At 37.8% G+C, this 13,385-nt stretch overlaps 1 protein-coding gene across 23 annotated transcripts in view, besides 1 other annotated feature; it reads left to right on the forward strand.

Moving 5' to 3' along the window:
• MGAT5 (alpha-1,6-mannosylglycoprotein 6-beta-N-acetylglucosaminyltransferase) overlaps positions 1-13,385 on the forward strand; it is a 334,687-nt gene that overhangs the window by 224,374 nt on the left and 96,928 nt on the right. For all 23 annotated transcript variants that reach the window (XM_006712534.4, XM_047444397.1, XM_047444400.1 and 20 more), the window contains 2 exons: positions 622-756; positions 5,497-5,630. In XM_006712534.4, the coding sequence (XP_006712597.1) occupies positions 622-756; positions 5,497-5,630 (269 nt within the window). The remainder of the gene's footprint in view (positions 1-621; positions 757-5,496; positions 5,631-13,385) is intronic.
• Positions 8,733-8,822: an enhancer, noted in NCBI's record as "active region_16561". NCBI's record gives its function as "activates an Ori minimal core promoter by ATAC-STARR-seq in GM12878 lymphoblastoid cells {active_cell/tissue: GM12878}" and the evidence as "EXISTENCE:reporter gene assay evidence [ECO:0000049][PMID:35858748]".

Genomic DNA, 13,385 nt, shown 5'->3' on the forward strand with positions numbered 1-13,385 from the left:
ATATGGTCAAGCGAGGAGGAAAAATTTGACATAAGAGAAAAAGTTAAGGAACAGTATGAGGCAGGTAGAAAGAAGTTAATACTATAGAGGCTAGAAATTGAAGACATTTAGAAAAAGGGGAGGGGAAGGTTAGTAAGGGTGCTAAGCGGTAAGAACAGGCTCTGGGGGAGAAAACTAAGTTATTGAGTATCTAGTATTCATTAGGCACTTTCTTTTCAATATCTCATTGTGAAGAACCCCTGAGAGACTGGTATCCAATGTTCTTTGTATCCAGTCCTTGTTTTCTGGAAGATGAGCAAAGAGATTGAGAGAGGTTAGGTAACTTGTTTAAGGTCTCACAGCTGCTACATAGTGGTGATGGAGTCAGACCCATATCTTCCTTGATTTCAAAGACTGTGTTTATATGCCACCATTTGCTTTTGCAAGAGTCAGAATCAGGGTACTGGGTTGGCCTTAATGGATGGAAATAATTTATATAGGTAGCAGATTTGAAAGGGCCATGCTGTCATCTCTAAAAAGGATTTTTGGGGTGGCATTTGCCCATTAAAGTTGCCAAGTTTATTACCTTTTAAGTAAATGATTTTTCTCTTTTTTCTCCCCTCTCTTTTGCCGTTTCTCTAGAATCATGAAGAAGGTTGTAGGAAACCGATCTGGCTGCCCAACTGTAGGAGACAGAATTGTTGAGCTCATTTACATTGATATTGTAGGACTTGCTCAATTCAAGAAAACTCTTGGACCATCCTGGGTTCATTACCAGTAAGTGCTACATGGTGTTCTGACTTAAGGTTTTTTTTCCCCTCCTTAACAAAGGTTGCATGGTTGTGGGTAGAAAAAGCTTATCAAATAGTATCTTTTCAGCTGTATGGAGTGTTGCTCATTCGTAATTGAAATTCAGATTCTCAGTGACTTTGTACTTTCTATGGCTATTCGTTATTTTCATTGGTTTCTTAGAAAACAAGTGTCAACCTCCTTTCTACCTTGACTAATGTTAATACTTAGCCTTCCTCTCAGTATGCGTATGCCAGTGTCATCTATTTAATCAAATAACAATTTTGATAAAATATGTACAGTGTCATTTCTTGTGTTCCGTGGGTTTTAGATCATGATTCGCTTTTCTTACCCTTTACCTCATCAGTATTCTTGTCATTCCTGGAAGGGAAATCTGGGAATACGTTATCTGAATGCTGGGGTCTTGCACTTTTTAAGATAAGCCCATTAAGATTAGTATGTCTGTGGTACATGTGTACTCTGTGCAGTCTTTATTATTTAGTAGAGTAGCTCAGTGTTTGCCTGAGTGTGGGTTTGGGACCACGATTTAATATTTGAAATGCTTTTACCTGGTATACAAACATGGCACTAAATCACAATGAATTACATAACGAAATTTATTAATTTTTCAATTTTCTTTCAGTCTTTTTGAGAAAAGGTGTAGTTTGATGCTACTCTGTGTCCGACACTACTTTTAACACATGCATTTTTAACAATGTGAGAGTAGCTGTGAGTCTCAGCATTCAGCAGGCAAAAGTATCTATTCTGAATTGTAAAATATTTCCTAAAGGTTATATGCTTTTTTTTGTTGTTATCTTGCATTTATGGCAGTCAATACTGGGTTTTATTTATGGTCTTTAAAAGTTTCCTTTAAAAAATCAATTTTAAAAGGTGAATAAACTTAAATATATTTAACAATGTAAATGGCACATAAATATAAAAAAAGCAAAACTAAAAACTTGCTGCGGGCCAAGATAGTGCTCTACCTTTTGCATGAGGTGTTTTTCTGGTTTTTGGCTTGTTTCTTGAAATCTTGACCCAAGTAGAGCTGTTGTTTTCTACCATTTTGTAAACGGCAGACATCTGATAAATGTGCAAAGGAATCTACACGGTATAGGCTTCCCTTGACTCACATATCCTCGCTGTTAAGAAGAGTTCTTTGGATGGAAAAATATTCTCAGTGGTACTGTTTAGGTGAATTAAAAAAGGATAATTTTGTTATTAAAATGGTCACCGTTGATTGGTATTTGATTTCTTGTTGGATGAAAAGGCACCATCTCAGAGGGGGTTTTATGGATGAGTGTAATGTTTATCTGCCTTTCTTTAATAAATCATCTATGTTAGTGATATTACCTGGCAGGAGGTCTGTTAGTGCTTTAGCTCTGCAGTCTTTGTGGTATGGTGAAGCAAAGATTCCATTAAAAGCCTACTCAGATCCTCTTGGAAGTTTCTAGCTGATTTCTTTCCCTTTTAAAAATTAGAAATTGTCAGGGAAAATTCAAAATTTTCCCTTTTAAAAATCAGAAATTTAATGGAATGTATTCCATTAAATGTATTGCTGTTATCTGATCTTTCAATTAGGAACAAACCCTTGAGGCCAGTTGGTCTTGGAAAAATAATTGTAAATTTTGTCCAATTTACGTAGGGACCTAGGAAATTCAATTAAACATATATTAAATGCCTACACACAACTAGTATTCTGCTAGGTACTGCAAAGCTCATACGCATTTTACTTCCTACAAGGCCTTTGTTGAAGGACATACAAGAAAGTAAACTGCAAGTAGTCCAAGATATGCCATGTTTTATGTCAAACACCAGATTAGAAATTAGGGCATGGCAAGGAGCTCCTGAACATCCATTTCATAGTAGTGTGGCTGAGAGCAAAGAGAAGTTTCTAGGAGGTATTTGGCATGGCTGCTGCGATCGCTGTTACGGGAAGGCGAGCTGCCTTGGGCATCAAAACAAACATCTTTTTAAGTCATTAGTCGGCCTATGATGCTCCAGACACAGAGACATTAGAGGGAAGACATAAATATTAGCAGCACATTATAAAAATAGTTGCAAAACACACAGATGCAGGATGTGATTGAAGAAGGAAAACTATAATGTCAAACCTTCCATGTCATAGACCAAGTCCAGTGTCCTGTCTGTGCTTTGTAAATTAAACCTAGATAAGCTAGAAAAGCAATTCCCAAGCCAAAGCCTCAAGTAAAAGGATGTCGAATTATAAATTTCTGAGAGACATCCGATCATTCCATTCCTCTTTCAGGAAGAGCCCAGTGCCGCATAGCTTACATCTAGGCGCTGTGCAAAGTCCGGGCTTTCAGGAGTTAGGCCCTTAGCAGACAACTTTACTCATCAGGATTTGTTTTAATTGCCCAAATCAAAAATAACAATAATAAAACTTCAAAGTTAAAAATGTCACTAGCCAAAGCTAGAGAAGAGTATATCGTTAGCATTTTATATCCATGAGTTCCACATCAACGGATCAACCGCAGACCAAAAATATCTGAAGGAAAAAGATAACAATACAATAATAAAAATACAAATATGATATTAGGCATTATAAGTAATCTAGAGATGATTTAAATATGAGAGGATGTGCGTAGGTTATGTGAAAGTACTATACCACTTTATATAAGGGACTTGAGTATCCTTGGATTTTGGTGTCCACAGGGGTCCTGGAACAAATCCACCAGATACCAAAGATGGCTGTAGACTGTTGGAGTCAATTGCCAATAAATGGAAGAAGCTGAGCCTTCAAGCCAAGGCTCCACATGACCACAGTGGCCCATTTCTCCCTGCTTTGCCTGCACAGAGTGCTGTAATCTTTGACTCACAAAGTAGTGCTGGTGAATCCCAGCTCTGGTTCTCTGGTAGGAGTGGAGCATTCCCCAGCCCCACAAATCAGCGTGGGTCCTGTCCTCTCCTCCCACTTTTTGCAGTGACCTGCAGAGCTGCCACCGTTAACACTGCCAGCTTTTGCAGAAGAATATATAGTGGCTCAAACCACTTCCTTGTACATCTTTTTTTAAACGGAAAAATATAAGTTAAGAAATGGGTATGTTTTATTAAGAAGTGGAAAGGGATGCTCTGAGCTATTCAAAGAGCAACAAAAACAAACACTGATCAGTTCCTTGGGTCCCTAGCTTTCTTTTTTCGGGACTGTGGGCTTTATTTCTGCCCACCTATCGGCCACGAGGCCAATGACATATCTTTGATGATACTGTGAAAACTCCCACTGTGATGAGAGCATATTCCGTGAGAGCCACACAAGAATCTAAGACAGGGAAATTCCTCCTGTAGTTAGCTTGTATTTGACTTGTGGTGGTGGCCTGCCTGCCTTTCTTTTCTTCACTTCCTGGCCTTGACGAATGGTAGTGATCTCTAATGACAAAACTAGCACACAGAAATGAAAATTTTTGAGTATACTTCCTAAAAAGTCCATTCTCATGTTTGGATTTTTTCCCCCTGAATCATACATTGAAGTGAAAATAAAAGTTGAAAGAATGCTTTTCTGATAGTAGGAAAAAACTGAGCCAGATTTTTAGAAGTCATTGCCATCATCTGATTCTAAAATGTGGGTTTCAATCTTTACTTTTATGCTTCTTAGTCTTCTAAAAGTTATTCAGAAGTTATTACTGATACATAATAGAAAATAGAGCTGCTTTTATTGGCCATCCTCAAGTTTAATTTACATCAAATATTTTGAAAGTCAGTGATGAAATATTATCAAAATCAATAAATTTTGTTTTAGGATTGATTCCTTTCTTCCAACTGGTTGCTCTTCGTGCACTCTAGAGCAGTGGTCAGAAAACCTTCTGAAAAGAGCCAGCCAGTAAACATTGTAAGCTTTTTGAGCCGTATATGCATCGCTGCAGCTACTTAGCTGTGCTGTTGCAGGATGAAAGCAGCCATAGAGAATAGGTCAACAACAGGGTGTGGCTGCATTCAAGTACAATTTTTATTTTCGAACATGAAAATTGGAATTTTATGTAATTTGTACATGTCACAAAATATTTTTTAAAAACCATTTAAGAATGTAAATATTATTCTAAGCTCACAGACCGTACAAAAATAGGCGGTAGACCAGATTTGGCCCTGTTTTATGGCTTTGGTGGAATAGTAAACAAAACATTTTCACTTGTATCTTCAAGTTCTAGGAGAAAGCAAATAAAGTTCTATTACTATCAGATATATAAAAAAATACCATTGCCTACTGAATGAGATTCTAAGCTTAATGTAAAGTCAAATACTCCAATTGATGAAAATGTTGAATGATTGCTCCTAGAGATAACACGTGTCATATGCTTTAAGCAGAATAAGACCTCTATAGATGGTAGCTCTGTTTCTTTGGCATCAGTTGATTAGACACCTACTGTGTGCTCAGCTCTGGCTAGGTGCTGGGGGTACAGCATTGAACATGGCAGTCCCCAGTTCAAGCTTTCATAGAACTTTTTATTTTGCTGGTAGTTGAATGATCTTCTGTAATTAGTTACCCGATCTGAAGCAAATCGTATCTGCTGTGTGATGTCTCAGACTCTAAAGTGACACAAGTAGATGTTCGGTACACAAGCTATTGTAAAACATCACAATTCTTGTCTGGTCCTGCTTCTATTTAAAAGGATTTACCTATTTTTAGTAGTCTTGAAGGAAGGGTTAGAGCTTTTACCTTTTCAACTTTGGGGGCAAGTATGTAGTGTTCAACACATTGCTTTTTTCTTTCAGGTGCATGCTCCGAGTCCTTGATTCATTTGGTACTGAACCCGAATTTAATCATGCAAATTATGCCCAATCGAAAGGCCACAAGACCCCTTGGGGAAAATGGAATCTGAACCCTCAGCAGTTTTATACCATGTTCCGTGAGTATTCCTGTTTCATGTATGCTTTCCAGAATGCCACCAAAGATAGATGGGAAAATTAGCCGCCATCTATTTTGGGTTATGATTCTCAGGACCATTAGCTGTAGAAGTGTGTGCTGTTGAACCTTTTCCTTGGGAATTACTGAATTTGTTTTTTTGTTTTTGTTTTTTAGTTGAAATCGAAAGGCCACATGAATATTTTTTGAAAAGCCTTGAAAATGTTCTGGAGAAAAAATGTTCAATACAAAGTATCTTTAGAAACTATTTGGGAAAGGACTTTGCAGTTACTTTAGATTGGCAGGCACTAAACACATTTTATGCCACATGGATGCTATTTAGGGTACACTTTGTCACTAATGAGAGGTGAAGTCTTTCATGCAGATCTATTTTCCACATAATTAAACCTTAATTATTTAAGCATCAAACTTTTTAAAGAAAAAAATAGCTTTTAAAAATGGAGCTGTTTTAAACTCAGTTTTGTATTTTACTGATTTTTTTCAATCCTAGGCCCAGAATGAAATTTTACCTTCTCTTGCTGACTTGGTATCATTGTTTTCAGCAGCAGTGATTATTTCATGAGCCGATATAGTAAGAACAGCACACCAAATGATGATGAATTAACTGACCACAGATGCTAGGCTCTTAGACATTTTCTGTTTCTATAGGATTATTTTCCCACTTTTACCATTTCTTCCTGCTGCTTTCTGTTTACTTGGCACTGGCCTCATTTCTAATTAGCTGAGGACTGTGAACTCAAAAAACCACATTTGATAGTGTTAGTACCAAAAACGAATTTATTTTATAAGTCAGTAGTCCTTAGTAATGAGATGAAGTCCTATTCCAGAAGTGAAAGGCCACATGAGATAATTTGGTTGATGAGAGAATTCCTATTTTCTAAAATTATCAGGATAATTTTAATCCAGAGGTTTCCACTTTATAACTTCTGAGATGAATCTGTTTGCTTTGTGGAAACAAGACCCAAAAGACCCCTTCCTGATCTTCTTCCCATGTGGTTGCCCCTCCCCCTTGTACACAGCTACCTGAAGGTGACCCCTGTCTCACACTCACTAAATGTAACAGCACATGCATTGGACTAATCTTTGGGTGTTAGGCATGAAAAGGGAGAATTAAGAATGGAGAGTAATTTTAAAAATCAACTCATCCTTAAGTGTTCTATTAAGCTCAGATTTGTGAAAGTGTGTTGTATGCTTCATAAACATTATTGTTCATGGAGCTGTATCATCCTGCTATTACACACCGTCCCTGGGGCACAGTTCATGGAGCAAATTGATTTTTGGCACGTTAGATAACAGATGGCTTTCAGTATGGTGAGGATGCTCAGAGTTTGCCTCTGGTTTGACTTTGCTGTGTAACTTTGAGGGATGGGATGAGATGGCACAGAATAGCCTAAGAAGTGACCTATGTGTTAAACCAAGTGAAATAAAACATTAACTGTGTTCAAAGTGACTAAAACCGCTGGGTGATATGGCAGGCGTGTGCCCTACAAGAGATAGAGTTTCCAGGGAGTAGAGAAGAGAGGTTTCTTTTTTCCTAGAAAACATAAAGTTCTATTTTAGAATATTGGAATTCAGAGTCCTGCAAACCTATTTTGTTCTCCATGGATGGAGAATTTCAGCAGTATTGGTTGATTAAATTGAAAGAAATTCACTGCTTAAAATGTAACTGAAGACAAAAACATGGATTAATTTCTATTAATCTGGGAAGGGAATAAGTTTCCTAACCATGACTCAGAATTCAGCAGAAATCAGGGAAAATTGATATGCTTGACTATATTTTAAAAAAAGAAGAACCTGTATGGCAAAACAACAACCAGTAACATCATAAGCAAATCATGTCACAGAGGGCTAAATTACTAACATAGACCCTTATATATACATACATACATATAAAAATTGAGAAGAAAAAGTTCCATGTTCCAACGGAAAAATGGGAAAAGGCTATTAACAGTTTAGAGGAAAGAGAAATTTACTGCTCTGAACATATGGAAAGATGTTAACCTCACTCACAGTAAGAGAAATGCATTTTTAAACTGCACCAAGATACCATGCCCCATGTACAGAATGGCAGAAATGCAAAAGTTAAACAGCATAGCTATTCTGATGGTGCAGTGAGCAAAACCAGCCCTCTTCAACCCTAGTGGTTAGAATGCAGCATGGTACTACCCCAGTGGGGATGGCGTTTGTCAGGATCTAGCAAAACCGCCTCTGCATTTTCTTTCTTCAACTAAGCACCTCATATATATGAATCTATCCCAAAGATAATGAGCAAAATCAAGATGTGGCATGTGCTCAAGGGCATTTAGTGCAGCACTAGTTGTAATAGGAAGCAACAAGAAACAACCCAAGTAATCATCATAGGGGACTGAGTGAATAATATGGTCCATTAATAGAGTGAAGTACTACATAGCTATAAAAAGAAATGAGGAAGGCTTTCATTCTAGGAGGGGCATGTCTAGGATATTTTAAGTGATAAGAGCCAACGTGCAGGACAATGTAGAGCTACTCCCTTTTATATATGTCAGATACAAAGGAAGAGTGTGTGTGGTCATGTTAGTATATATGAATGAACTTATGTTTCCAAAAGAAACAATGAAAGGATAAATAAACTAATAAAAATGATTGCCATTGGATAAAGTGATTCCCATTGGATAAAGTTATCCAGGGATGGGGCTAGAAGGGTGATGTCTCTTAATGTTCCCTATTTTGACTTTAGGACCATGTAAATGTTTTACCTAATTTAAAAAGAGAAATACTCCAAGGAATTCAAAGTAGGATCTCGAAAAAGTGTTTGCACATTCATGTTCACTGCAGTAGTATTCCTAATAGCCATGAGATAGAAGCAACCCAAATGTCCATCCACACAAGTGGATAAAGAAAATGTAGTGTACATATATATGGAATATTATTTAGCCTTAAAAAGGAAGGAAATCCTGTCATATGCTACAACATGGATGAACCTCAAGCATATTATGCTAAGCGAAATAAGCTAGTCACAAAAGGATGAATACCATATGATTCCACTCGTAAAGTATCTAAGGTAGTCAAAATCATAGAAGCAGAAAGCGGAAAGGTGGTTACCAAGTTGGGAGGAGGAATTAGTGTTTAATGGCTATGGGGTTTCAGTATTACAAGATGAAAAAGTTCTGAAGATCTCTTGCATAACAGTGTGAATATACTTAACACTACTGAACACTTAAAAAAGGTTAAGATGGTAACTTTAGTGTTATTTGTTTTTTACCACAATAAAAATTCAAATAAAAAAGAAAAGCATTCACTAAAAATTGAAAACAGATAGAGACAAACCTAGCTGTACACGTGAGGTTGGTGTTAACCTCTCATACAGAGAAGATTATTACTTAAGTGGCTTTAAAAGACAATCTTTTGACTATACAGTTGTAGTGGGAAATATTTATATTGTTACTTGAAACTGTTATGGGTATGTTGTAGGAACCACGATGTTTAGTATACAAAAAGAGGAGAGTACCTAAAGATTCTAGATTCCGGAATGATACACCAACCAAGAAAACTCCACAAAGTGTAGTGGGTCACCTTCGCAAATTGCTAGGATACTACCTCATTACTGTAAAAAGTAAAGTGAAAGAATTCAGCTTTGATCATGCCTTTCTAGCACAAATTGTATTTGAAGATAATCAAATAGTTGATGAGAGAAAGTCATTAATTATGGAGAAATCACAACTAATACATGCAAAAGGAATGAATTAGAAAATGAGCGTTATAAAACTCCTGATGAGACAGCAGAGCAAAACAGTCATCATCAGTGGTCGCTAAATCCATCAAGTAACAGGTTGATGGAAAACTTTCTCATGGACGAGGCTGACTTGAATGGAGGAAATATGGAAATGAATAGAGAAATAAAGCAGTTTGATACCTTTATCCTATTGAGATGTGCCTGAGCTGGAAAATTTGCAACAACAAAAAAAAAAAATAGTTCCTACACTCTGTTTTCCAGCGCCTGCCCACAGTGAACTTGGATGCATGCTTGCAAGAGGGTCCCTTTCTTCCCATGTGACAAAGGCCTGGAGTCCAGTCCAGCTAGGTCCTTCCCATAGAGCCCTCCATTCCTTTACCTTTTGGGTCAATGTGGCTATTTTAGTGGTCTGAAGAGAAATACCGTTCCTTTGAATATCAAAACTTCTATTTATTTCTTGTTAATTTTTCAAAAGTGAAACAAATACTAGTGCTTAATATATGAGCTGGATAGTAATCATTATATAATTTCTGTATAAATATGCACATATACTGAGGATGTACTCAGGTTCCTGTGTGCTTAGATTGTGTTCTACTGATGGAATGCACAGTTTGGAGACTGCAGAAATAGAGTGCTATACTTGAGGAACAAAGTCTTCAGGACTAGCTGCCTTATAGTAAGATGTAGCAGTATTGTGGTTCATGTGCAGACAGAGAGCGTGGGGAAGGCCAGTCCAAACGAACCCAGTGGGAAGATAAAGAAAAATACACCATTGGGATGCATCTTGAGGAACAGTGAAATGAAATACGCTGGACCGGAATGTGTTTGCGTTCTTAAATATTCATGGTACACGTCTCACTTTAAGGCTCCTTCTGTTTCTCCTCTAACTCGTTTCCTAAGTTGGTGGGGTTTCTACAAATTGAAGAACCTTGCATTTCTGTATTATTTTGCCCCCAGTCTCAGAGGTTCACTGGCACCATCGTCGTCAGGTGTTCTCTTTGCAGTTAGGCATTTTAGGTGGTGTCCACATAAACTATTCCTGACACCTTCCTAAGCAGCTTCTGGAGGGACTGGTGGCCAGACAATACTAAGGCCATTTGATTAGATCTATTAAGTGTTGGGTTTTCCCCAGGAATCTGGTAAGTCTGGTTGTTCCTCCTTCTAGGCCCCCATTCCTGCTCACTCCTTCTGTCCGCATGCTAAAATGACCTCTGAACTAGGCACTAAGGCTTTCCAACCACAAAAACCAGCTCTTGAAAGCTCAGCTTGGATCAGGCTGTTTCTCCTCAGAGACTGCAGTGCCTTCCTTTTGTCCATGGGATCATTTTCAAACTCCACAGCAAAGTATTCAAGACCTTAGGCTCTCTGGCCTCAACTCCCGACCATATTCCTCCCCAGGTCCTGGCCCCGGTCTCACCAAACAGCCTGCTGGTCCCTGAGAAGCAAAATTTAATTTTTTCTTTAAAACTCTATGTAAGTGACTTCCTCCAATTTTCCAATCAAATTTATAAAGAAATGTAACCCAATTACAAAAACAGGGAAAGACTTCCTCCCACTGAAAAAGGCTCCCCTAACCCTGGTGTAACTTTTATCTTTTTCACAAGTGTAGTTTTACATACTTGTCACATACGTACTAAAATTTTGTGTTTCCTTTTTTCCACTTAATATATCATCTTTTTTTTTCCTTCAAGACTCTACTCAGATTTGAAAACCATTGTGTCCAAGACTCTTCTACACGCAAGTGGCTAGTTCCTAAGTCATAGTTATTTGGGGATGCTTTTGTTATTTCTTGTTGAGACTTAACTGATGCTTTTTTTATGGTTGCCAGGTACCTGGCTTGGCTTATATTTACGTATTATTTAACTGTGCATACGGCTTGTTTTAAATTTCTGAAGGCAATCTTTTATTTTTGACAGTCTCAAACAAGGTGCATTATATCTCAGTAAATAAATGCAAGAAATCTGCCCGCACAGAAAAATAAGAGCGAAGGCATTTGCCTTTACCATTTAGAAGAGAAAGCTCTAAAATTGATGACTTGCACTGTAAATTTTCCGGTATTTGGATAGCTCTAATTATCTGCACCACACCCACATTTACAACTTCGTCTGGCTTGTATAAAAACATTGGCAGTGGTAAATCATCTTTATCTAATTGAGTTTTTTCCTCTCTTTCCCTAGAGTTGATGGCTGAAAGTAGCAATAGCAGGCATTACAAGATACCCCATCCCTGGTTTCAGATCTCAGACCTTATTTTTATATCCTACAAAAATTTCAATAACCTTTGAAATCAGTTCTGCTTAACAGCCTCACTTTTCATATCATTACCATAGAGCATTTACTACATTGCCTGAGCAAACTATGTTTGTATAGTTTTATTTATTTTATTTTATTTTATTTATGCGTGTATGTGTTAAGTACCTGCAACATTTTGGCTATCATTCACAATGTGAAGACACACAAGAATTTGCCTTCTGGGTGCTCACATTCTGTATAGTCAAGACTAGAGAATATTCAGCATTTCTTGGTACTTGTGGAAATTTGGAGCAGAAAAGACAGGAAGCTATAACAAAGTGGAGAGAAGAGCAGATGGGGGATTCTGGAGGTGTTTAGAACTTTCCCATTTCACCTTCCACTTCTTTGATTTTTTTTTTCTTTTTACCCCCTCCTCCTCTTTCCCAAATCCTTGTAAGGTGCTCCTTAGTAAAGGCTACAGAGCTGACTAAGCCTAAGTATTTTCTTGTTCCTTATGAGCGTCAGTTTAGGAGTTAGATTGGAATCTTTATTTGGTTGTCGATTTTATCCACTGAACAGTGTGTGTTTCCTGACCATCTGTGGGATGTCTAAGTCTCTGTTCTCCAGAAGCTTACTTTCGGTGGAGTCAGGAGGTACGCAAAAATAAGACTTTCTCATACTTCCACTTTAAAAATTACAGACCCAGGTGAATGGAGTAGGGAAAATTTGAATGCAGAGGTGGGGAACATCCTAGTTGTGGCAACTAGAGGCAAGTTTTCCCAGGGTCCTCAAAACCCTGTCGCTTACTACGCGGCTTTTTGCTCATTTCTCTCTACTTCCTTGCTGTTTCTTGAGTAGAATAGGCACACTCCCCCTCAGGACCTTTGCATTGGTTGTCCCATCTCCTGGAACATTCTTCTTTTAGACTTCCCCATCTCCTCCTTCAGGTTTTTAATTCAAATATCATTTCAGTGAGACTGACTGTGACCTCCTCTTTTAAAATGCAACTCCTTCCTTCCCCAACTTTCTCCTCCCCTTCCCTGCTTTATTTTCCTCCATGACTTTATTGCTACCCAGTATTTATGTTTCACTTATTTTTATTTTCTTTTTCCTTCCCTGGAATCTGAGACATATAATGGCAGGAATTTTAGCTGCTTTGTTTATTGCTGGAACTCTAACATCCTGAAGAGTGGCTGGCACATAGTAGGCATTCAGAAAGTCTTTTATTGATAGAATTAAACTAGAATGAACAATATTGCCTATTATGTTTTTAATCCATGCAACAATGTAGGGAAGGAGACTGTTGTACAAATTTAAGATTGTAGAAACTTCTTTAGGCCAGTGGCCTCATCTTACTTTCTTGTGTCTTCCCAGGGAACTTACTCACATTTTTGGGCTTTCAAGTGGCATTCAGACCATAATGATTGTCAGTATCATTGATATTCCAACCCTGAATTTCTCCCAGGATTTGGGGCTCACAGCCATTTTTATTTGCATGATCAAATTGAATGATGGCTTGCAGATCAAAAATTTTGCCTGGCAAAACAGGAATTTTAGAACCAAGTCAATTCCCATTCATGCAGATAATAAGCCTGTTGGCTGTAGCAAAGGATCAGTTAACTTCCATGTACAATTTTATTTTTAGGACATGATAACCAAAGGAGTTATTTGTGATTGAAACTTCCATTTTGGCCTTTAACTTGAATCAGGAGGGCTCTTGCCTTTAAGTTCTGTGCAGACCACTGAGGATTAGGATCAGCCTCGTGGTTCCTTCAGTCTGAGTCTCAGCTTTCAG

Source organism: Homo sapiens, chromosome 2 (genome assembly GCF_000001405.40).
Source record: "Homo sapiens chromosome 2, GRCh38.p14 Primary Assembly".
Taxonomy (NCBI): Eukaryota; Metazoa; Chordata; class Mammalia; order Primates; family Hominidae; genus Homo; species Homo sapiens.